The 25,357-nt window shown below is 36.4% G+C and overlaps 1 protein-coding gene and 1 pseudogene across 15 annotated transcripts in view; one reads left to right on the top strand and one right to left on the bottom strand.

Moving 5' to 3' along the window:
* JMJD1C (jumonji domain containing 1C) overlaps positions 1-25,357 on the top strand; it is a 354,666-nt gene that overhangs the window by 281,323 nt on the left and 47,986 nt on the right. For 11 of the 15 annotated variants that reach the window (XM_017015897.2, NM_001318154.2, XM_047424773.1 and 8 more), the window contains 4 exons: positions 20,585-20,690; positions 23,237-23,361; positions 24,872-25,015; positions 25,113-25,305. In XM_017015897.2, the coding sequence (XP_016871386.1) occupies positions 20,684-20,690; positions 23,237-23,361; positions 24,872-25,015; positions 25,113-25,305 (469 nt within the window). In that variant the 5' untranslated portion in view covers positions 20,585-20,683. Of the gene's footprint in view, positions 1-20,584; positions 20,691-23,236; positions 23,362-24,871; positions 25,020-25,112; positions 25,306-25,357 lie in introns of all 15 variants that reach the window. The other 4 variants (NR_134512.2, NM_001322258.2, NM_001322254.2 and 1 more) reach the window with 2 other exon arrangements.
* TATDN1P1 (TatD DNase domain containing 1 pseudogene 1) lies at positions 17,434-18,444 on the bottom strand (annotated as a pseudogene).

The raw sequence follows: 25,357 nt of genomic DNA, 5'->3' as shown, positions 1-25,357 counted from the left end.
TCCCAATAATATCTTCAGTTATTGCAGCCTGGTTTCTTCCTCCACTTCACAAAACTGATGTTGCTAAGATGGCTAATCATCTCTTAGTTACTGCATTTAATATTCAAGTGTGCATCACTGTCCTACTGAACCTTTGCATTTAACACTGGATCACTGTCCTTTTGGAAATTCTTTGTTCCTGTTGCTACTCTGATACTTCTCTTCAGGTTTTCCTATTTTTTTAATCAGTCTTTGCTGTATGTTTGTTCTCTCTGTAGAAGATTTAGTGTTTATGTGATTTTTTTTTGTAGTGCTCCTTATTTTCTGTAGTGTTCCTTTTTGGTTTTTTCCATTTCACTACTCACCCTAAGCCGTGTCACATTTCCACTGTCTTTTAAAACCCTGTCTTCTGAATCCAAAACTCCAGACCTCTCTGCTCTACCATTATTTAATAACTGTTTACTAAGCATCTTCTCTGTGCCAGGCAGTATTCATACAAAATTTCCTGCCCCCATGGAGTTAAAATTCTGGAGAGGCCAGGTAGATAATAAGTGTAATAAGTAACTTATATAGTGTGATATACAATGTAATAAATGCGATGACAAAATGAAAATGTAAAGCAGTGTAAGATCAATAAGGATTGGGGAGGGGAGAAGCAGATATTTAATAGAATGTTCAGAGTAGATATCATTGAAAAGGTGAAACCCATGTCTTCTGCTGTCTATTTACTGTATTCACATTCAACCATCAGACCTTGATTTCGTTTTTCTTCCTGATCATTCTGTATCCCAGCTAATGAGATCAATCACATCTATGCCAGTTTGTCACTTAAATCAACATGTAGGGCCAGGAGCGGTGGCTCACGCCTATAATCCCAGCACTTAGGAGGCCAAGGTGGGTGGATCACCTGAGGTCAAGAGTTTGAGACCATCCTGGCCAACATGGCAAAACCCCCGTTTCTACTAAAAATACAAAAATTAGCCGTGTGTGGTGGCACATGCCTGTAGTCCCAGCTACTCAGGAGGCTGAGGCAGGAGAATTGCTTGAACCCAGGAAACGGAGGTTGCAGTGAGCCAAGATTGTGCCACAGCACTCCAGCCTGGGTGACAGAGCGAGACGCAAGTCTCAAAAAAAAAATCAACATGTAGGAATGTTTTAGGTCTCTCTCTTGCCCTTACATATTAGTCTCCCAGAATTACTAATTCTGCCTCTTTAACTTTGCTTAATCTGTCCCTTCTCCTCTATCGTAAGGCTCCCATCCTTACCCGCCTAGACTATTACAGAACACTCCAAACTACAGTCTTTCAGTTTTCTTCCTCACCTACTCTGCTGTCCTTAATTCAATCCATACCAGTGTACTTGTCCCTATATTCCATATTGTTTCACCCATCTATTCTTGCGTATGAATTTTCCTCTGTCTGAAAGACCTTCTTTTCTGATCTCTTATTATCTGGCAGATGCCCTTGCAGTTTTGAAGTTCCAACTCAAAAACCTTGGTTTCATACTTTTCTTGAGTCTCAACTCAAATATTTCCTTCTCTGTAAATCCTTTCCTGACACACCTAACTAGGTCACCCGCCAACCCATTTTGTCTCACCTTTGTATCCTAGAGGATACAAAGATACTTTAATCTGTATCGTATTTGTGTGTCTGTCTCAATTCCACTGGATTGTAAGATCCTTGAGGTCAGGAACTTTGTCTTAGATATATTGCCAGTGCCTTGGCACAGTAATTGATACCAGGTGTTCAAAATCTTGTTGAATGAAATATATTCCTAATAAATTTTAGTAATGAGAGCCTCCTAGTCCCACACTTAGACTATTTCAAACATAATTCCAACAAGCTGTCAAATCTAGTTTCCCTTACCATAGCATATGAGAAGCCAACACTTTAAAAAGTGGTGATGGTAGATTGGCAGCTTGACAGCATGAGGTTATGGAAGAACTAAAAAACAGTTACAACTAAAATTTTGTCTTTCTGGAACAATTTGTTATAGAGGTTACAGTTTACATCGATTATAACTGCATCATAATATAAAGATAACCATGAGTATTAATTTAAAGACCTTATGTTCAGTATGTTATTTCATGAAGGAACTCTAAATATTTTTATTCAAAATTAATAGAATTTCAGCAAATTATGTTATATAAACTCCTTTTTTAAAGATAAACTATAATAAGCATTTAATATGCTTCATTCAGTTTATGTTCTCTTCCCTTTTTTAAATTAAATTTTCTAAATACGTTAAACTTTCTAGGAGCAGTAAAAAAAAAATGCTGAAAGGCATCGTAAAGAGTACTATGGATAATACCTTCCTTAAAAATTCTAGGTGGCTAATGTGCTTTTCTATTATGATACATTGGAATTTTAGTTATAGCTTCCTTCCTTTTTTTCTTTTTTTTTTTTTTTGAGATGGAGTCTCACACTGTCACCCAGGCTGGAGTGCAGTGGCACAATCTTGGCTTGCTGCAACCTCCACCTCCCAGGTTCAAGCGATTCTCATGCCTCAGCCTCCCAAGTAGCTGGGATTACAGGCACCTGCCTCCATACCCGGCTTTTTTTTTTTTTTTTTTTTTTTTTTTTAGTAGAGACGGGGTTTCACTGTGTTGGCCAGGCTGGTCTCTAAGTTTTGACCTTGTGATCTGCTCACCTTGGTCTCCCAAAGTGCTAGGATTACAGGCATGAGCCACTGTGCCTGGCCGCCTTTTTTTCTTTTTGTGTAATTTAACACATTTCTTATGTACAGGTTGAGTATCCCTAATCCAAAAATCTAAAATCTGAAAAACCCCAGAATCTGAAACACTCAAAGGAAGTGCTCATTGGAGCATTTTGGATTTCAGATTTTCTAATTATGTGTGCTCAACTACTAAGCGTAATGCAAATGTTACAGAATTTTTAAAAATCTGAAATCTGAAACACTTCTGACTCCAAGCATTTTGGATACAACCTGTATTTGTAATTGCTCTACAAAGACCTCAGTGAAGGAAGTGGATGGACTCAAATAGGTGTCATAAAAGACTAAGTCACTGGGCAAGTCTAGCAAGTCTTGCTGATCATTCCAATTTGTACTGGATTGTATTCGTTCTTTCTGAGAAAATAGAAGTATGGTACTATAGTTCATTTATAGATTCATCATTTCCATAGCACTATATGCTAAAAGTGAAAATCAGCCCAAAAAACTTCGATGTGGTATTAATTTGGAAGTTACATTCATTGCACTGTATATTAAAAAAAAATTTTTAGTGAGTGTTTGGCGAGGCACAGTGGCTCACGCCTGTAATCCCAGCTCTTTGGGAGGCCAAGGCGGGCAGATCACCGGAGGTCAGGAGTTTGAGGCCAGCCTGGGCAACATGGTGAAACCCTGTCTCTACTAAAAATACAGAAATTAGCTGGGCATGGTGGCAGGCACCTGTAATCCCAGCTACTCGGGAGGCTGAGGCAGGAGAATCACTTGAACCTGGGAAGCGGAGGTTGCAGTGGGCCGAGATTGCGCCATTGCACTCCAGCCTGGGGGACAAGAGCAAGATGTCTTAAAAAAACAAAACAAAACAAAACAAAAACAGTGTTTGTTCTGTATGAATCAATCATTGACACGATGTATATGTATACTATTTCAATATTAGTTGTTTTTAAATATATATTTAGAGACAGGGTCTCTCTGTTTCCCAGGCTGGTCTTGAACACCTGGCCTCAAATGATCTTCCTGCCTCAGCTTCTCAAAGTGCTGGTATTACAGGCATGAGCCACCATGCCCAGCCTCAGTATTAGTTTGTGCACAGGAATTTTCAGTAGAATACTTTATACAAGTATATAATTTTACTTCTTTTTTGTTGTTGACCTCCCTCCCCAGCTTCCCAGGAATTTTTTACTTCTTAAAGCTTGGGTTGTGCTGGAGGAATATTTTCAGTTACTACTTTGGAAAATATTAAACAGTTCCCAGGCCTTCCTGAGTTTGTTTCAGTTTAAGTTTGAGGAAGCTGCAGTTAGTAAATTGTGGTTGGCAGATGCTGTAAGCAGGTGACTCAGTAGGTTAAACTCATGATGACTCAACTGTGTAAAAGTCATGCCAATAAATAGCTTGAAAGAAAAACTGCCTTCCAGACTTTTGAACTGCCATAAAAAGTTCAAAACTATTATTAAAAGTATCACAAAGAATATTAACATGTGGCTTTAGAAGAAAACACATTTTTCTTCAAGTGGTTTTATAATGTTTTCTTAATTTATCTGATTTTTTTACTCTGGTTATTCTGAGAGGAGCGGACCTTATACCAATGACACTTAGCAAATTGTAGTTAAAATGCAGGAATATTACAGGTCTGGATCAAGTTTATTCAAGGGAATATTGTTATGAAAGATAGGTTTCAGTTGGGTGATCAACCAAGAAACCCTATTAGTAGTTATTTTTAATTAATAAAAAAGCTAGTTAATAGCTGTTAATGTAATATTGCTGTAACCGAATAGATAAAGCAAGATACACAGTTGTTTGTTGTGATTTGATGTAATAGGACATGTATATTAAGATAGTATATCCAATTCCAAAATTACTCTTGAGGATTTTCATAAATTATATAATCTATTTATGATATCCATTTCTAGTCTTGGAATACCATATTCTTCTAACCTGGTTTTAATTTAGCTACGTCATTTTCTGTTTTTAAAAATAACAATAAAATGATTGGATAAATTGGGTCATCTTCCTTTTTATGTGACCATATTCCTAATAATGTAGGTAAGTTATTGAAAACCTAGCAGAGAGCATGCAAAATTTTGATTATGCAAGCGCATGGATGGGGAAAAGGGTATGTGGGAAGTGCTTTGACATTAGACAGACCTTTGCTGATTTGCCTTCTAGCTGTGTGATTTTGGAGAAATTACCTAATAATATCAAAATAGCAGAGGTATTGTTAGGATTAAATGAGGTTAATCTTTGTGAAAGTGCTTCTCTTGTGACAATTTAAAAAATCTTTTAATTTACAGTGGCAAGTAAATATGCTTAACTGTTAAATAGATAAATAATCTTTCTGAATAATAGGGAATTGACTGAATTTTGGTTTTGTGTTCATGCTGATTTTCTTTCTTTCTTTCTTTTTTTGAGACCAAGTTTTGTTCTTGCTGCCCAGGCTGGAGTGCAATGGCACAACCTCGGCTCACTGCAACCTCTGCCTCGCGGGTTCAAGCAGTTCTCCTGCCTCATCCTCCCTGATAGCTGGGATTACAGGCGCTTGCCACCACACCCAGCTAATTTTTTGTATTTTTAGGAGCGATGGGGTTTCACTGTGTTGGCCAGGCTGGTCTCGAACTCGTGACCTCAGGCGATCCACCTGCCTCAGCCTTCCAAAGTGCTGGGATTACAGGCATGAGCCACCGTGCCCGGCTGATTTTCTTAAATTGCTATTTATATTGGCAAAATACTTATAGAATAAGGCATTTAGTCTTCTAGCACAGTATCTGAAACGCTGCATCAAGTTTTTAAAATAAATACAAAATTTATTTTACCTGGTGCTTTCTAAGTTACAAGTCTGTTTCTTAAATGTGTATGTTGTATTACTGTTTTTTTCCTAGAACATTAATCATCAGATACATACTATGTGATATGTTTCTGTATACCACATCTGTTAAGTAAAGAAAATGTATGCCCTCTAGCTAAGTTAAATTTGAATTTTATGACTTAGTTCATAAAAAATGTATTACAGAATTAAATTTTTATTTTTATGACTAGCAAAGGTTTTATAAGAATTTCATTTGAGTAATACCTGGTACAATCAATGTCGTACTAATAGAATAGCATTGTTATTTTTTATTTTATTATTATTATTTTAAATAGAGACAGGGTCTCACTATGTTTCCTAGGTTAGTCTTGAACTCCTGACCTCAAGTGATCCTCCCGCCTTGGCCTCCCAAAGTGCTAGGATTACAAGCGTGAACCACCATGCCCAGCTTAATATTGCATTAAATAACTCGTTCTTTTTATAGGCCTTTAACGATATTTTTAGCAAATCTAAAAATTTAAGTATTAACATATTAAAAGGTTTTTTTTTATAGGATAGGGAAGGTTTTTGTTTTTGGTGTTTTTTTTTTTTTTTTTTTTTTTTTTTTAAGAGGAGGTTTCTCTCTGTTGATGAGGCTGGAGTGCAGTGGTGCGATCGTGGCTCACTGCAGCCTCTACCTCCCATGCTCAAGCAATCCTCCCACTTCAGCCTCTCAAGTAGCTGGGACTACAGGCATGCACCATAACACCTGCCTAATTTTTGTATTTCTTGTAGAAACAGGGTCTCGCCATGTTGCCCAGGCTGGTCTCAAACTCTGGGCTCAGCGTTTCACCTGCCTCAGCCTCCCAAAGTGCTGTGATTACATTTTGTTTGTTTTCAAGAGACTCTAAACAAGAGTCTGTCATGTTACCCATGCTAGACTTCTCGTAACTCTGGATCTCAAGTGATTAAGTCCACCTTTTAATGTGAGTATTTAAAAGAATGCAAAGAGTATTTTCATTTTACTCTGTTATCATTACCAACAAAATTTCTAAATTAGCTAGGTTTCTATGGAGTATGCTTATCATATTTAACTGTCAGATTATATTGCATTTTTTGTTGAAACTTTGTAACAAAGGAAATTAGTATTACTGTGAATAAATTGTTGGCATCAGTCTTTTTCATCTTAAATGTTTCTTTTTCTCATTATAAAAGCAAAACATGGTCATTGCAAAATAAAAAACTTCCAGAAAAATACATAAAAGCATAGCAAAGTAGATTATTCATAACTCAGCTAAAGAAATTACTGGTAATATCTGTTATATATCCTGGTGGTGGTGTGTGTGTGTGTGTGTGTGTGTGTGCACGCGCGTGTGTGGATATATATATATATATAATATGTATATATGGAGATACATATATATATAAAATCTTTCTAGTTGGAAAAGTAAAAGGAATGTTTTTATGGTTCTGTTTGTGATCATTTGAGCCAAGATAAAATATTTTTAAGGCTGTATCCCATTGCTTAAGTAGATTTCATTTGGGGGATATTTTAATTCCAGGACATAAATTCTGACGAATATAATGAAAACAATTATATTAAAATACCCTTGTATTTGTCATTAATTCTGTTTTGTTTGCCTGGTGTGTTTTAATGTGATTATAATTTGAGATTTGTTTTTTTGGGTGTTGTTAGACATGAAGTTTAAAATTTTTTTTTAAGTCTAATTTTATCAGTGCTAATGTTACAGACAGTGCTTTTCTAAGAGTTAAAATGACTATACTCTTTTATCCTTAGGGAAATATGCTTAAGAAGTAAATCAGGTTATTAATATGCTGTGAAGAGTTTGAAAACAGTGGTGCTCAGTTGAGCATATTTTAGACTATGCAGGTTAATTGGACACATTTTTAACTATAAAGGATTAACTAAAATTGTGGCAACCTTTTCAGCCTTGAGATTCCATTAAATTGTAGTGTGTTTGCTTGTTTGTTTTTGTATTGATAATTTTTGTGAAAGCCTTCAGGTCAGAGTCACTTTTCTAGATCAGAATGTCAAAATTAACTGAGAGAGAATAACTTAAAATATTCAGTGGAATTAGACAGCATTGTAGTTTTCTTTTTCACTTTAAATGAAGTTTGCAGTAACATTTGAGTTCCCAAGAATTGTGGTTTGCTAAAAATTTGAACAGAGGAAAAATTTAAAAGTAAACAGAAAATGAACTTTGAAATTAATTTAATGGTGAATTTATATATACCAAATAATGAAAATGACACAGGAATGTTATTTCATGTAATCATATTTTAATTTGAAAAATCATGAGTCCATAGAAACATCATAGAACTTTGTACATAAAATGTTAAAATCTTGAGACTTTAAAATTCAGAACCCTTTTACCATTTCATAATTTCTCATGACATATACTTCTCTTAAACTTTATCATTTCCTCCTTAGTAATTAATGATATAAGTAGTTGCAAGCAATGCCAAATGGATGTTCCAAGGAGAGATCCCTGAAATATCTGGATATATAACAGTGGGTTGCTTATAGCAACAGCAAACTTCTAGGTAGATTTCTTAGGACTATGGAATTTTTTTCCTTCATAACAGTTAATATTCTTGGATCAAGCTGCAGGTTTTAGCTATACTCATTCTCTCTGAAATGAATTATTAACCAGTATCAGTTTTACATTTTTCATTTCTTTTCATAGATAAAAGTAAATTATGTTGTCATTGTAAAGGACCAGATGCAGTTTTAAAAAATTTTTAACATTCATGGGCTTAATAAAATTTCTTTTCTGAAACTTTTAAACAATTTTAAAAGATCAGTGGTTTTTTAATCAGGACAACTTTGAAAAGATGAACGTGTTCCAGAAAGGGGATGACTTCACATTATAGTAATATATTGAGAAGATGATTGTTAAGACTATGACAAAAAAAAAACTTTAGAAGAAGCAGTATGAAAATAAGCCCTTAAGGGTAAAGGAGACCGGGTGCTGTGGCTCACGCCTGTAATTCCAACACTTTGGGAGGCCGAGGCAGGTGGATCACATGAGGTCAGGAATTCAAGACCAGCCTGGCCAACATGGTGAAACCTCATCTCTACTAAAAATACAAAAAATTAGCTGGGCATGGTGGCAGTGCCTGTAATCCCAGCTACTCAGGAGGCTGAGGCAGGAGAATTGCTTGAACCCAGGAGACGGAGGCTGCAGTGAGCTGTGATCACACCATTGCACTCCAGCCTGAGTGACAAGAGCGAGACTCTGTCTAGAGGAAAAAAAGAGTAAAGGAGATAGTCTATTTTCTTGTTTTATTTTATTTTATATTTTTTTAGACGGAGTCTCGCTCTGTCGCCTAGGCTGGAATACAATGGCACAATATTGGTGCACCACAACCTCCGCCTTCTGGATTCAAGCGATTCTCCTGTCTCAGCCTCCTGAGTAGCTAGGATTACAGGTGTGTGCCACCATGTTCAACTAATTTATGTGTTTTTAGTAGAGACGGAGTTTCACCATGTTGCTCAGGCTGATCTCGAACTCCTGACTTCAAGTGATCTGCCCGCCGTGGCCTCCCAAAGTGCTGGAATTACAGGCATGAGCCACTGTGCCCGGCCTATTTCCTTGTTTTATATACTTGCAGTTCCTGTATAGGCCCTGCCACCATTTGATTCCATACAGATCTCGGGCTTGCTCATTGATTTCTATAACTAATCAGTGTTTTTGATTGTGTTTGGCAGGAAATTCTTAAGGCCACCAGGCTAATTGCAGTAAGTCATTGCTTCTAAAGCTTGCTTTGTAAAAAGCTGGGCTTAATTGCCGTTGAAGTCAGTTCTGTTCTCTAAACTGACAGTTTTCCCATCTTATTTAGAAAATCAAAGTAATCACAGAAATTTAGGATCACAGTTGAGTGAATCCTGTACTACCAGCTTAATTCTGATTTGTGTGCATTAAGATCTTGCTTGCATAGTTTAAGGTTTTTTCTTGAGGGGGGAGTGTTGGTGTGTAAATAGTGTCCCAAGTGCTTGGCTCTAAAATATTCATGTTTGGAATGTATACAGAGAATCAAGAGGTTCCTTAAAAGTTATAATAATTTAAAATTCTGCTTACAACTTAAAAACTTAACAATGATGATAAATCTGGTAATTTTTAGATTTTATTATATTATGTGTTGTACAGAATCACATCACCAAAATTGACAATACAGACTCAGAATTATGTTAGAAATATTTTGAAATAACATTGCATTAACCTTGTGTGGTAGAAAGCCTCCTTTCTCCCACTAGCATTTGGAGACAATTTTGTGGCAATATGTGGTGGTCAAATTTTATTTTTTATTTATTTTTTTTGGGGGGGGGGACAGTCTCACTCTGTCACCTAGGCTGGAGTACAGTAACATGATCTTGTCTCACTGCAATTTCTGCTTGCTGGGTTCAAGTGATTCTCATGCCTCAGCCTCTCAAGTAGCTGGGATTACAAGTGTGTGCCACCACACCCAGCTAAGTTTTTGTAATTTTAATAGAGCCAGGGTTTAAGTAACTACCATTGTGAATGCAACTTAAAGCTCCAATTGTATTTACAGTTACCATTTTATGAAATGGACAAAACATTTAGCTCTTATGTTTGTGGAGCCTTCTGCATATTATACAAGTTAATATGTTTCTTAAATTCTTATGATTAAATGTTGATGCTGTGAAAATGAATGGTATTCAAAACTTGTAAAAAGTGCAGGGTAAAGAAGTGGTGGAATTTTTTCGAAACAGAGTCTTTGCTCTGTTGCCCAGGCTGGAGTGCAGTGGCTTGATCTCAGCTCACTGCAGCCTCTGCCTCCCAGGTTCAACGGATTCTCCTGCCTCAGCCTCCTGAGTAGCTGGGATTACAGGCAAGCGCCACCATGCTCGACTAATTCTTGTATTTGTAATAGAGACAGGGTTCACCATGTTGGCCAGGCTGGTCTCGAACTCCTGATCTCAGGTGATCTGCCCACCTCAGCCTCCCAAAGTGCTGGGATTATAGGCATGAGCCACTGCACCCAGCTTATTTTCATTTTATGTGTAGACAGACTTAATGCCAAATTTAATGATTTGCCCGTGGACATGCTAGACATTGTCTTTAAGGTTCACTTCAAGTTACCAATTCCACTTAGGCCTCCATATCTGATGAATATGCTTACCAGTATGTTAATTTTTAGGAAAAAAACCTAAACCTATTTTGGGTTTTTTAAAATAGCCTTTTACTGAAATTGCTTTCTTTAGATCAGTGTGGGATCACAGTCATTCATCACTTTGTTTTGTTTCTAAATAAAAATAAAACTCGAATGCAAAGAATATTATTGGAATGCAAAAATGTAATAATTATAACAGATTAAAATGTTGGTGTTTGCTGTTTTCCCCTGGTACAACAATCCTTTTTTAGCCAATAAAAAAATAAATCTAAACATCATTCTGATTTTCTGAATGTCACTTCCATTTCTAGACTATTTCCAGTTACAATAAATGAAAATAGAGTTTTATTATATTTACTCCTTTCATCAATTCTATTCAGAAACTAAATTTGTCTCATCTAGTTGCAGAATGTAAATAATTTAGAAAGACTAAGCATATTTTATATTATCTTCTTGATTGTATGAATGAGAAAATAATTACATGGATAGTATAAATTGTTGTCCTATTTCTTCCTACCATCTTAATCTGTTTTTTTGTTTGTTTTTTTTTAAACTGCTGCTCATGGAGCAGGGCTACCCTGTAGGCAGTGTGCCCAGAGTAGCCCCATCCGAATCTTTATGTATAATTACGTTTTGGAAAGATAGACATTTTATTGCTTTAGTTTAAATGATAGTCTGGATTCTAGACGTCTGAATTAACCACAGCTAATCAAATGATGAAATTTTGTATACGGAGACTTAATTACCCCTTGCTTTTAATTATGTGAAATCTTTTAATATGTTTCCTTTTTTTTAAAAAAGTATTTATTTATATTTATATGTACTCAGACACACACACACCTACATAGAGAGCTTAAGAGATTAATCTATCGTGTCCTTAATAAATCAGGTAGACTATCTTTATAATATCTCTTACTTTTTAATGCATATTCTCATTTTTACTTTACTTGAGAGCCCAGAGAAGATGATGATTCCAATCTCTGAATGTAATAGTCATTGACCTAATGGAGGAAATCTTATCTTGCAAATTAGATAATTTTTCCTAAATTATGTACATTAAAATCAAGTATATTGTTATATTTGGAAGGCTAAGCATTGTCCAGAATAAATCAGGGAAACTCATTTACTTGTGAAAGTTTAAATAATGTATTTACCTTAAGATATTTTTGTCTTTACTGGTGAAAAGGATTTGGTATTGATTTAATTTCCTGTGCTCCTGATTGTATATATTTCAAGCATTTGTGGAAATAAGAGTTTGCAGTCAGTTAGATCAAATTGCATTAGTATATTTAAAATTGTATTTGATACATTGATGTAGAAGTTTTTAATCTTGCTTCATACTGGTTGTTCTGTTTTGTTGTTTTTAATTAGGAAAAGGCAAACTGTACCTACAAGCTAATCCAGCCTGCTTCTTGTTTTTATCTTTTCCTTTTTAATTTTTTTAGAGACAGGATCTCCCTCTGTCACCCAGGGTGGAGTACAGTGACTACAGTGATCATACCTCACTGTAGCTTTGAACTTCTGGGCATAAGGGATCCTCCCACCTCAGCCTCCTGAGTAGCTAGGATTAGAGGTACAAGCCACTGTGTCCAGTTACTTTTAGATTTTTAAACAGTTGAAAAAAACTCAAAAAGAAGAATATGTCATAACACCTAAACATTCTATGAAATTCAAATTTCATAGAATGCTAATATAGAAACATTTATTGGAACATAGCCATGCTCATTCATTTATGTATTTTTATGGTATTTTTTTAGCTACTTTTCTGCTGTAACAGCAGGGTTGAGTAGTTGTGACAACTGGTATGGCCCATAAAGCCTAATATATTAACTTTCTGGCCATTTACAAAAAATGTTTGCTAGCCCTTATTATAATTCATGAAAATACATGGAAGCCTTCAGCGGTACCTTCATTTAGTTAACTGCAGGTGGTATAGACAGCTTTGCTTTTTGAGCACCCCTGTAGCAACTTTCAAACTTTATATATTTCTTGTCCCAGCAAATCCTTATTAGCAAAATGGATTCTTGTATAAGTTAAAAAGATGTGGTGTGGTAAAAATTAATGTCACTCTTGTGGACTTAACATTCACGTTTTAAAACTGTTGCCAGCAATCTCAGGGATCTAAGAACAAGCAACTATTTGTAGTTTTGCTAAACCATGAATTTATGACTGGCGAAACTGGTATGGCAAAACATGTTCAATCACCTAATCTGATGTTCAGGATACAAAATAATTGCTTTTATGGTAACTCTTATACTATCAAAGATGGTTTTTATGGAGAAATTTATGTCATGGAATGGAATTTAAGAAAGCACACTGGATGTTACCACAAAGGTCAAGGGTTTTATAGCAGAGGGGAAAATCATTCCATTAATAAGCCACACATATCAGTATCAATTTGAAAGTGAGCATTCAGTCATTATCTATCAGAAATTGTCCAAAGGAGGAGAAACTGCTGCAGTTTTGTGATATTTCTTTTATCCTAAAATGAAAGTGCTACTCTAGACATCAGTTGAGACTTTTGAGCAAATCTGTTACGTTATTAAGCCAGTCTTCTCTGTCACTTAGAAACTAACCACCCTTTGTTGGTTTTTTGTCAGCAGTCAAATGAGACTATGTGTGACATAAATAATATATTTCTTGAACTGGCAAGGAGCACTCTACCTTATTATCTTAGGAAATGAGTTGTGTATATTTTTAACATTTTCATAATACTGGTGTCATTAAACCTAACTAGGCATATCTGAATATTTTAGTGTTCTGAGCTTATGTTTTATATTACCTAGATGGTTATTTTTTTCTTTCGAATTAAGTAGAAAGTACATAATCACCTAAAATTATGTTAGTACAGTAGTCTTACTGTCAAAATACACATTCCAGCCTGATTTTAACCTTTTCTTTGAGAGTCTCACTCTGCCACCCAGACTGGAGTGCAGTGGCACAATCTAGGCTCACTGCAACTTCTGCCTCCCAGGTTCAAGGGATTCTCCTGCCTCAGCCTCCCGAGTAGCTGGGATTATAGATGCGCACCACTACACCTAAATACATTTTTTTTGTATTTTTTAGTAGAGATGAGGTTTGGTTTCACCATGTTGGTCAGGCTGGTCTTGAACTCATGACCTCAGGTGATCCACCCACCTCGGCTTCCCAAAGTGCTGGGATTACAGGCATGAGCCACCACACCCGGCCTGATTTCAGCCTTTTACTCCATCATGTCCTTCTCTCTCTCTTTTTTTTTTTTTTTTTTTTTGAAACAGGGTTGTGCTTTGTCGCCCAGGCTGAAGTACAGTGGCACGATTATAGCTTATTGCTGCCTTGAATTCCTGGGCTCAAGTGATCCTCCCATCTCAGCCTCCCGAGTAGTTGGGACTACAGGTGCGCACCCCACCATGCCTGGCTGATATTTAAATTTTTTGTAGCAATGGCATCTCGCCATGTTGCTCAGGCTGGTCTCGAACTCCTGGACTCAAGGGATCCTCCCACCTTGGCCTCCTGAAGTGCTGGGATTATAGGTGTGAGCCACCGCACCCGGCCCCATTATCCCCTCCTGTACACGTGAAAAAATACCTTTATTTTGATCATCCAAGCAGTCATTCAGCACAGTGTTAACCTAGAAAAAAACAGCATTTGGGTATTTGTAGATCATGACTAAGGTACATCACCAAAGTGAGGTTTCTTCTCTTTTACACTTTCTGATTATAAGATTGCATGAGTTTGCCACCCTAAGTCTCCTCTCTTTGATGAGTATTTGACTATTTCTATATGTGGAATGTCACATAACCAGTGTTAGAAGTTTATAGAAAGGTATCTTCCACCCGTTGTTCTTTGCTTTTGAGTCAGCCTCAGTTTATAAGATAATGTTGCCTTTTACCCCTTACATATAAAGAAATGTGTCAAATTTTAAAAGGCAATAATAGTAAACTTTCATTTCTTTTGATTGTGCTAATGAGAGAGAGTGTATGTGGAGGGAAGGGGGGGGTGGGGGAGAAGAACCTGAGCCCTGGAAGTCACAGAACTAAGTTCAGATAACAGCTCTGTCACTTCCTGCTTGTAACCATGAACCTCTCTGAACATACTGTGTATATCAGCTCACAAAGTTGTTACAATTGATACTGTATGGAAAGTACCCAGCATAGTGTCTGCCATAGTAAATGCACCTTTAGGTTAGCTTTTTTTTTTTTTTTGGAGATGCAGTCTCGCTCTTGCTGCCCGGGCTGGAGTGCAATGGCGCCATCTCAGCTCACTGCATCCTCTACCTCCCGGGTTCAAGTGATTCTCCAGCCTCAGCCTCCCCAGTAGCTGGGATTCACAAGCGTGTGTCACTACACCTGGCTAATTTTTGTATTTTTAGTAGAGACGGGGTTTCACCATGTTGGCCAGGTCGAACCCCTAATCTCAGGTGATCCACCTGCCTCGGCCTCCCAAAGTGCTGGGATTATAGGTGTGAGCCACCGCGCCTGGCCTTATGGTAGCTATTTTTGTGTATCAGTACATTAAGGTGTCTCACTAATGTTCAATTAGAGTTCATGTCTATCTTTGCAAGAGGAGGAACAACACACAAGTGACTGATGTACCCCCAAACCTCATTTAAGATGTTTTTTGAACTTTTTCTGTGTTCTGTATACATTTCTAATAAAGCAGATGCTTAGTGAACTGATTTTTTTCCATTTGTCGTTTGCTGGAGGTTATAACTAGTAGCTCAAATAGGATACAGTTTACATAGGAGGAGAGGTTCATAGAGGGTCCTGTCTCTTCAATTAGCTTAGGTGACTTGTTTTTGAAAAATTAATAGGTATTAGTTATTCAAGATAAGAACTATATATAGGTAACTACTTATAGTTACTGTCTTTAAAGTGTGAAATGTGAAGACTGTGCCATTAAGTGGATTTTTTTCTTTTTTTTTCGAGACAGAGTCTCGCTCTGTCTCTAGGCTGGAGTGCAGTGGTGCAATCTCGGCTCACTGCAACCTCTGCCTCCTGGGTTCAAGCGATTCTCCTGCCTCAGCCTCCCTGGTAGCTGGGATTACAGGCGCCCACCACCACACCCAGCTAGGTTTTGTATTTTTAGTAGAGATGGGGTTTCACCATGTTGGCCAGGATGGTCTCGAACTCCTGACCTCGTGATCCACCCACCTCGGCCTCCCAAAGTGCTGGGATTATAAGTGTGAGCCATCGCACCCGGCCCATTAAGTGGATTTTTAATCTCACACGAGCTCAAGGCACAGCTGAAGACCTTTTAAATTCTGTGAAAGATAGTGGATATTCATAGCTAGTTTTTAATTCCAGACCCTTAATTTCTCTTATCTGTAAGTCAGCCTTGTTGACTTCTGTCTAACATTTAGCACCTTTACAAAATTATTCAAGTCAGTAAATATATATATAAAAAACCTATTTGGCTTTGTTTCAAGATTTGCTCATTTAACCTTTAATAATCCTCTTTAAAATGGGAATGATGATGTAACAGAAATCCCTGTAACTTACAAAGTACTATATGTAGACGAGGGGGAGGAATTCAACAACAATGCCTGTCATAAATCAGGCAGTGCATTGGGATACTTTTTGTGGGTTTTAATTAACCAGGTAGTTCACATCATTCAGCACTCAAATGTCATAAATCAGAATTAGATATTTTAAGAAAGCTAATTTTTGTACATAAGAAAAAATCTTATTAAAACATTTATTAAGATAGAAAAAGAGGGAAATATTAGTAACTCTGCTTTATAGATGAGGAGATTGAGAGACCAGAGTTTGAACCTACATAAAGTCATTATCAGTAAAGGGACTCAATTTAACAGTTTTTAATGGTATGCTATTTCCGCTAGATAATTAATGGTTTATTGTTGGAAAAATATTTGTATATTGTTTAATGATCTTGGAAATAGAGCCCATTATTTTAACCTGTTGAAAAAATATTTATAAGGCTGGGCTCGGAGGCTCATGCCTGTAATCCCATTGGGAGGCGGACGCAGGCGGATCAAGAGGTCAGGAGTTTGAGACCAGCCTGACCAACATGGCGAAACCCCGTCTCTACTAAAAATACAAAAATTAGCCGGGCTTGGTGGTGGGCACCTGTAATCCCAGGTACTCAGGAGGCTGAGGCAGGAGAATCTCTTGAACCCGGGAGGTGGAGGTTGCAGTGAACCGAGATTGCACCACTGCACTCCGGCCTGGGCGACAGAGTGAGACTCCATCTCAAAACAAAACAAAACAAAAAATATTTATAAATAAATGTTGAAGAAATAGATTATATATCCTAGTAGTTATAACTTATAAAATTTAAACATAGGCAACTGGTTTTATAGCCCATTATTTTAACCTGTTGAATAAATAAGATATAAATAAATGAGTTATAAGTTGTAAAATTCCAACACAGTCAACTGGTTTTATAAGGTGTACTTGTCTGCACGGTGTTGGCAATGCTTCTTTAAAACAGTTTATAGCCAGGCGTGATGGCTCATGCCTGTAATCCCTGCACTTTGGGAAGCCAAGGTGGGCAGATCGCTTGAGTCCAGGAGTTTGAGACCAGCCTGGTCAACATGGTGAAACCCCGTCTCTACTAAAAATACAAAAATTAGTTGTGCATGGTGGTATGCGCCTGTAATCCCAGCTACTCAGGAAGCTGAGGCAGGAGAATCGCTTGAACTTGGGAGGCGAAGATTCCAGTGAGTCAAGATCGTGCCCAGTACACTACGGGCTGGGAGAGTGAGACTGTGTCTCAGAAAAAAAAAAAAAAAAACAGCACAGAAAAAACAGTTTATAATTCCCTATATTATGGAAAAGGTATATGGATGGTTATGTATGGAAGTTTTTGTTTGTTTGGGTTTTTTTTTTTTGCAGATAATTTCTTTACTGAAACTATCGGTAAGTTTTACTATGAAATTTTACATACATGATGGAAAGTGGAAGACATATACCAATTATATTCCAGGAAAAAATACTTTAATAGTATTGTTATATAGTGTATTGGCTGATTCCAGTGGATCCTCGTCTCTCACTGCTGACATTATCTCCAATATTTGAATTATATGGCAGGGTTCATTTCTGTCTTTTAAGCAGTGCCCACTTTCCCACTTCTTTTTGGTAGGAAATGCAGTTTTTATATATTTTGATCCAGCATGTGTACTTTTGACTCCACACCAAGGTGCATCTGTCTCAATCATTAATTTTTCACTAGGAATTGACTTCAAAACTTCCAAATTAGTTTCAGTTTTCAGTGAGCAACCATTAAATCCTATATAAAGATCCAAGTCAATCAAAGCAGCTGCTGCTTCTTTGGTACCATCAAATGAATGCACCACTCCCTCTACACACCGATCTCTATTTCTTTTAATTATGTCCAAAAATTCAGCATGTGAGTTTCGACAATGAAGAAACATTGGTAATTTTGTTTGTTCTGACAGTTCAAACTGTTTTTCACAGTATTTGAGTTGAGTATCTTTGGGACAAAAGTGCAGTCAGTCAAAATCAAGTCCACATTCTCCTACTGCCACAACTTTCCCTTTATTGTTTTCATCAAGATTTAGCAACTCCTTTAAGTAAAGATCAGGGTTATTCTTTTCAAATTTACCACATCTTGTAGGATGACATCCAGCTGTACTGAAAAACATATGATTTGTTTGTGCCAAATGCAGTGCATCTTTACTGTCTTGTAGATTTCCACCTGTAATCATAAACTTTTTAACACCAATCTCGACAGCTCTCCCTGTTACATCCTGTAAATCATCTTGATGCTTTTGAACCCCCCTATAAATTCCTCTGAACATGGTGTCAGTCAAGTTGATAACAATATCGATAAACTTGAAATGACTCATGACTGCAGATGGGGGACCTCCCTGGCGGAAGTGCTATGTAAGGAAGTTTTAAAGTGAGAAAAATTTTAAAAGAACTTGCTGTCAGAGATATCTGAAAATAGTAATGGTTTTCCTTGTAAAATAGTTTTCTATGGGCCAGATGTGGTGGCTCACGCCTGTAATACCAACACTTTGGGAGGTTGAGGCAGGTGGATCACCTGAGGTCAGGAGTTTGAGACCAGCCTAACCAATATGATGAAACCCCATCTCTACTAAAAATACAAAAATTAGCCAGGCATGATGGCATGCTCCTGTAACCCCAGCTACTCAGGAGGCTGAGACAGGAGAATTGCTTGAACCTGGGAGGTGGAGGTTGCAGTAAGCCGAGATCGTGCCATTGCACTCCAGCCTGGGCAACAAGAGCAAAACTCCGTCTCAAAAAACAAAAACAAAAAGTTTCCTATGTTCTGTTTGTTATCGACTAGACTGTCAGCTGGTGTGCATTAAGGGGGTTAGAGTCTGATAGGACTTTCTAAGTGTGTACTGTATTATTGAGGGGGTGCAGAGAAAAGAGATTGCTAGAAAGTTTCTTTGCAAAGTAAAGAAAGACATGTTAATGCCCATTTCTTTCTCCCAAAATGACAGATTTTGCCTACTTATTTGTATGACAGTTTTTCATTCTGGTATTTTCTTCTGCTGTAAAGCAGTACTTCTATGTATTTTCCAAGGAACATAATTAATTTAAAGGCCCTTACTTTGGCCTGTTGGCTTTCACTATGTTTAAGTACATATCAGATAGAATATTTACCACAATACTATTCTAAAAATACAGAGTAGTGCCTTAAAAAGCAGTATGAGAAGGAAACACTTTACCTGGATAGACTTTGGAGAAGAGTGAAGTATGACCTACTTGATTAGGGGTCCTTTTTTATTTTTTACACTTCAGCTACCTTTTGGCTTTTCAAAGTTGCCAAATTGTTTTTTATTCATCAGATATAGTTCACTTAGTTTAGCTCTTTTCTATTCACGGGTTTCCATGATCTGCCTGTCCACTTTTTTTTTTTTTTTAAGACGGAGTCTCACTGTCGCCCAGGCTGGAGTGCAGTGGTGTGATCTCGGCCCATTGCAAGTGCCACCTTCCGGTTCACACCATTCTCCTGCCTCAGCATCCTCAGTAGCTGGGACTACAGGCTCCCACCACCACACCCAGCTAATATTTTTTTGTATTTTTAGTAGAGATGGGGTTTCACCATGTTAGCCAGGATGGTCTCGATCTCCTGACCTTGTGATCCACCCACCTCAGCCTCCCAAAGTGCTGGGATTACAGGCGTGAGCCACCGCGCCCGGCCCTGCCTGTCCACTTTAAAAATAGTTGCCATTTGACAGTGCTGGTTTGTTATTCTTCTCAGCTACTCTAGTGTCCCTGCAGCTGATCTCAAATGCAGGAGCAGCAGAGGTACTTTGAGAGAGAGAGAGAGAGAACAGAATATCAGAGTCCAGTGGGAGACCAGCAAATTGTGGGAAATCACGTGACTGTATGATTCACATCTCCAATGAGAGAGAATTGGTTGTTTCTATGTCTAGATCCAGCCTGTTATGAGAGTAATACCATCAATAATGTAATTTTAATTGTCTGGATGCTTTGGCGCTAGTTTCAAGAAATAAAATTTTTAGCAGCAAAATTACTGGTCAGATGACTGTGAGTAGAACTGAATTTGATGACATTTAAATCAGGACAGAATAAAAGTAGTTTCAAAGTCTAGAGGTTAAGTATTATGGGAAGGTCAGTAAGTCATCTGTGTATGTATCTATTGTCATTCAAATGTTCACCTCAGTTCTTTTGCCAACACCTTTAAATGACCTGATGTTATTTCATTTGTATATTGCTTCCAATAGTGAATCCCTTAAAAAGATGACTTGAATAAGGCTATACTTTAAAAGTTAGAAAACACATTAATTTCAAATTTTGACTTTAGGACATTGTTGTCAAAGGTCAAATCTTACCACAGATTAATTTCTTATGCTCTTTTGTTACACAATTGCCAATGAACTATAACTCATGAATTTGTGTTTTTGCATACATTTAGATCAAAGGAATTTTATTCAGTCCTTAGAACGTATAGGAGGGAAAGTCGGTAACATTAATGGTAGGAGAGCGTAACATGGACCTTTCTTTTAATCTATAATTCTAGGACGACATAGACAGCCTAAACCCAGTTCTCAGGGACAACCCGCAGCTTCATGAGGAAGTGAAAGTCTGGGTAAAGGAACAAAAGGTTCAGGAGATTTTTATGCAAGGTAACTATTTTGAAGTTATGCATTAAATTTTTTTGGATCTAGGCAACTTATCATATTTGTTTTTGGTTATTCAATTGTGTGCAATATAAATAGAAGGCCCAGTCCAATATTTTGAGTTATATACATCCAGGAAAATAATAGCAGAGTGATAATAATTTTGATAGAAAGTTGATAATTTCACAAGTGTATTAACTTTATTTGAACTGAATGCCTGTCATGAAATTACAGCTACACAGGTGTTTTGTTGACAGAAAACTGCATATTATGGAATTCTTTAGGTGTGTCTTTCCTGGAGAAGGAAGCATTGTTTGCAGTAGAGGGTTGCCCACAGCCACAATTGATTTCCTTTGAAGAATGTTCTTCGTATCTGGTAAAAGTGGCCTATTTCAGTGCACCTTTTTCAGAAATTACTAGTCTTTTGTTTCCTTTGTTTAGTATGTTACAACGTGTGACCTTCAAACCAGTGGGGTTTGACGATTTTTAGCAATTTCCATTTCTGTCAGTAAAATCATGTATTGTAAATACAAGCTTTTTGGAAATTGAATGGAAAGTGAGACAATATGGCATGAACTGTTGTTGAATGTCTTTGTGAATGGAATTTTGTTGTTAAATTCCCATATCTATCTCAACCGTCAACTTCCATGCCATTAAGTGTCAAGAGAGAATCCCAAAGCTGTTTGCTTTATATGGGTATGTACAGTAGTGGATCATCTACATATTTAATTCTTCCTAGGCTAAATATTCTTTAAACTTTTCTGTGGAGAATTTCAAACACATACAAAAACAGAATATTTCAGTGAACTTTCATTCACCTCTCTCCCAGCCCCAACAACTATCAAATCTTGGCTGATCCTGTGCTATCCATACCCCCTTCTATCAAATTTCAGACATCACCCTATTCTATCCATTTTTTTGAACAAAACAATGCTGGAACATTATTCTGAAAAAAGTAATTGTTTTTAAATTTAAAATACTAGGTATTTCAAGTTTTCATTTGTCTTATAAACGTCGAAGATTTTAACAGGTTTGATTTATTTTTTAAAAATCAAGGGATTCAGAAAAGGTCCACACATTGTGATTATTTGGTACATCCCCATTGTTGCTCTTTTTTTCCCTTTCCTTGCAATTTATTTGTTGAAGAAACCAGGCAAATTTTTAAAAAATAATATTTTGTTTCTGCATTGTATCCTTAGAGGAGAAAAGATTAAGGGGCAGTATAGTCCCTATTCATTCTATGCAGAATTGTGTGAGGCTGACTCTAAGCTATGTTAAGTAGTGGGAACAAACCAGTGTAAACTGTTTGTTAATGGGAATTGAAAACTGATCATATTTGGAGTTACTCTATAAGCATGTCCTATATTATTTAGAAAAAATAATATGGAGTCTTATTCTTCAATAGTTAGAAAAGACTGAAGTTCATATAATGGATATGGCTACTAAACAGTGTTTACGCATCACCTCCCTTAAATTATAGCCAGTCAACATCTTCACTTTTCTCTAGATGAAAGTATTTAATTTACAGGTCATATGGAATACTTTCTACAGTTCATTGATTTATATATATATATTTAAAGCTGGCAAAGGATTGTTGAATCTGTTACAACTGTAGAAGAAGGAATATCAGAAAAATAAATTCAGTCCCAGATCTTTGACTTAAAATTTTACCTAATCTGTCAACCTCTCACTTTCTTGATTTTTGTAAAAGGGCTAACAATACTTAGGAGAGAGAATTAAATAAGCACTTGAAAATTTTGAAAGCACTTTGTAAATTATTAAGGTACAGCAGTTTTTTCCCTTACAGTTCTTTGTTAAAGTATTTGATACCATTTTAATACCTGTGAATTAAAGATCGTTTTCATCTCAGTATCCTCTTCTGTAGAGTGACTTGTTTTATTAGGCATATCTGAATATCTGCAGATAAATATGTTTAATATTTTTTATTATTTTCTAATGGATATCTATACAAGAATATCCTTTGAAAAAGTGAGTTTAGCACAAAAGTGTACCATATTTCGTTAAAAATTTTTAGTGCTATATGTATACATTCACTTAGCCAATCTCTTTTTTAAGACTTTTAGCAACTTTTTCTGGCTGTGATAGCAAATCAAAATTTATAGTTGTTTATGGTAAAGTTTTGGCAACTAGAAGACTCAAACAAACATCAAGTTGCAAGTTAATCTTTCTGTTTCAACCATGTAGTCATCTACTGCAATCTTACTAAGTAGCTTCATAACCTTACTGCATTCTACACTACTATAACTTTGCATTTTGAACTGTTCTCTTATTAACTCGTGATCCTAGAAACCTTCCTTCTCTCTTAAAGTATTTTATTTCTATTGAATCAGGAAGTATGTGGGTCTAGTGCAGTGTATATAGTAACTTCAGAATGATTCATTTGAAAGGATATTTACTTCTAAAACATTTTTTTGAAAACTGATAGTTGGATATATTACTATTATACACTAGCTCATGTTTCTTCTAAAAGGCAGTTATTAAATGAAGATGTCTCCATTTAAGATGTTTCTGTTTCTTGTGTTTTTTTTAAGGTCCTTATTCCTTAAATGGATACAGAGTGAGAGTATATAGACAAGACTCTGCCACCCAGTGGTTTACTGGCATAATTACTCATCATGATCTCTTCACCCGCACCATGATCGTTATGAATGATCAGGTAAATAGTTCCACTAATATTTTTATAGAGATTTTAAAAGTTCAAATCATCCATGCCCCCCAAAATACATCAACAATTTGATACTAAATAATTTTTATCTCTAGGGTTTTTAGTCGTGTAATTCTAGTAAGTTTAAATGTATCTGATATTACATAGAGGTCATTTCAGGTCATAGGGAGACAGCAATGCTCAATTTATTTCAACACTGATAAAATCAGTTCCTAAAATAGAGGCATTAAACTCTTTTAATTGATTAGTCTTTTTTAAATCCTTAGATGAGCTAAAATTTTCTTTCTCAGAGTTTCAGTTTTTCTGTCCCTCCAGTAATAAAAATATTTCCGAAATCATTTCTTTTCATCAGTGAAAACTTAAACACACAGTACATTTCTTCTCACATCAAATGTCAGTGTTGGTATGCTCAATTAAGTTTTATGGTGAATCTTAAGGATTACAAGTTTCCTATGGAGTTTTTGTTTGTTTTTTGTTTTTTGTTTTTTGAGCTGGAGTCTCGCTCTGTCGCCCAGGCTGGAGTGCAGTGGCATGATCTCGGCTCACTGTAAGCTCCACCACCTGGGTTCACACCATTCTCCTGCCTCAGCCTCCCGAGTAGCTGTGACTACAGGCGCCCGCCACCACGCCCGGCTATTTTTTTGTATTTTTAGTAGATACGGGGTTTCGCCATGTTAGCCAGGATGGTCTCGATTTCCTGACCTCGTGATCTGCCCACCTCAGCCTCCCAAAGTGCTGGGATTACAGACGTGAGCCACCGCGCCCGGCTCCTATGGAGTTTTAAGTACCAGTCTGAAAGTCTTGAGATTTCAAATTTTTTTTTTAACTTAATACAAAAAATACTCATTTTTAAAGCTGTTGTTTATGTAGAAAAAATAGATATTTATACCTTCCTGCCTGATTGTATTGTGGAGATTATCTGATAGAGCGCCTTTATACACAATTCAAATACTTTGGTTAAAATGTAGTTAAAATGCTAAGTAAGTGTTACTGTTTCATTGCATTTGATTTTTTCCCTAAAACAGTGACAAACTTTTACCTCTCAGAAAAGCACAAAACTGCCTTGAATTGTTAAAATAGTTTTAACCACATTTTTAAAATTATTCATTTGCACAATTTTTGTCTTTTTCTACTCCCTAAAGTCTACCTCTGAGTTTTATTTTACAACTGCTTTTTGAAAATTACTTTCTATTTAAAAATAAAAAGTAATTTAAGAATTGTTGGCATCTGTATTCTTGATTAATACCCTTGTTTTTCAAGATGTACTTGCAGTAAATATATTTGCTTTTTAATTCTTGGTTAGCAGTTGAAATGGTGAGTTTCAGAAGGTTAAAAAGGTAATTTTGTCTTAAGTGAATAAAACAAATTATTATAACAGCATCTTATAAATTAGGGATCCCAAGCTGATTTCTAAACATTTCTACTGAGTAAAGAAATTATACCAAATATTTGATTAGCTCATTCTATTTAATTTTTGTTTTTGTTTTGTATCATGGATTAGGTACTAGAACCACAGAATGTCGATCCTTCTATGGTTCAAATGACCTTTCTAGATGATGTTGTTCACTCTTTGTTAAAAGGTGAAAATATTGGCATTACATCACGACGCAGGTCTCGTGCCAATCAAAACGTCAACGCTGTTCACGTATGTATGTTATTAGGGATGAATTTCTGTAAAATATTTTTCCTTAGGCTAGTAGAAACCAGGTAGTAAACAATTACTGTTAATTGGTTATTTTTAGAGCCATTATACACGTGCCCAAGCAAATAGTCCCAGACCAGCAATGAACTCCCAAGCTGCTGTACCAAAACAGAATACACACCAGCAACAGCAACAAAGAAGTATCCGTCCAAATAAGAGGAAGGGCTCAGATAGCAGTATACCAGATGAAGAGAAGATGAAGGAGGAAAAATATGATTATATATCACGAGGAGGTAGGACCCACTTTTTTTTTTAAGGGAATGAAAACAAATAAAACAAAAATAC

This window comes from Homo sapiens, chromosome 10, assembly GCF_000001405.40.
Source record: "Homo sapiens chromosome 10, GRCh38.p14 Primary Assembly".
Classification (NCBI taxonomy): domain Eukaryota; kingdom Metazoa; phylum Chordata; class Mammalia; order Primates; family Hominidae; genus Homo; species Homo sapiens.
The sequence above is the reverse complement of the archived record's forward strand: the minus strand, read 5'-3'. Positions and strand labels throughout refer to the sequence as shown.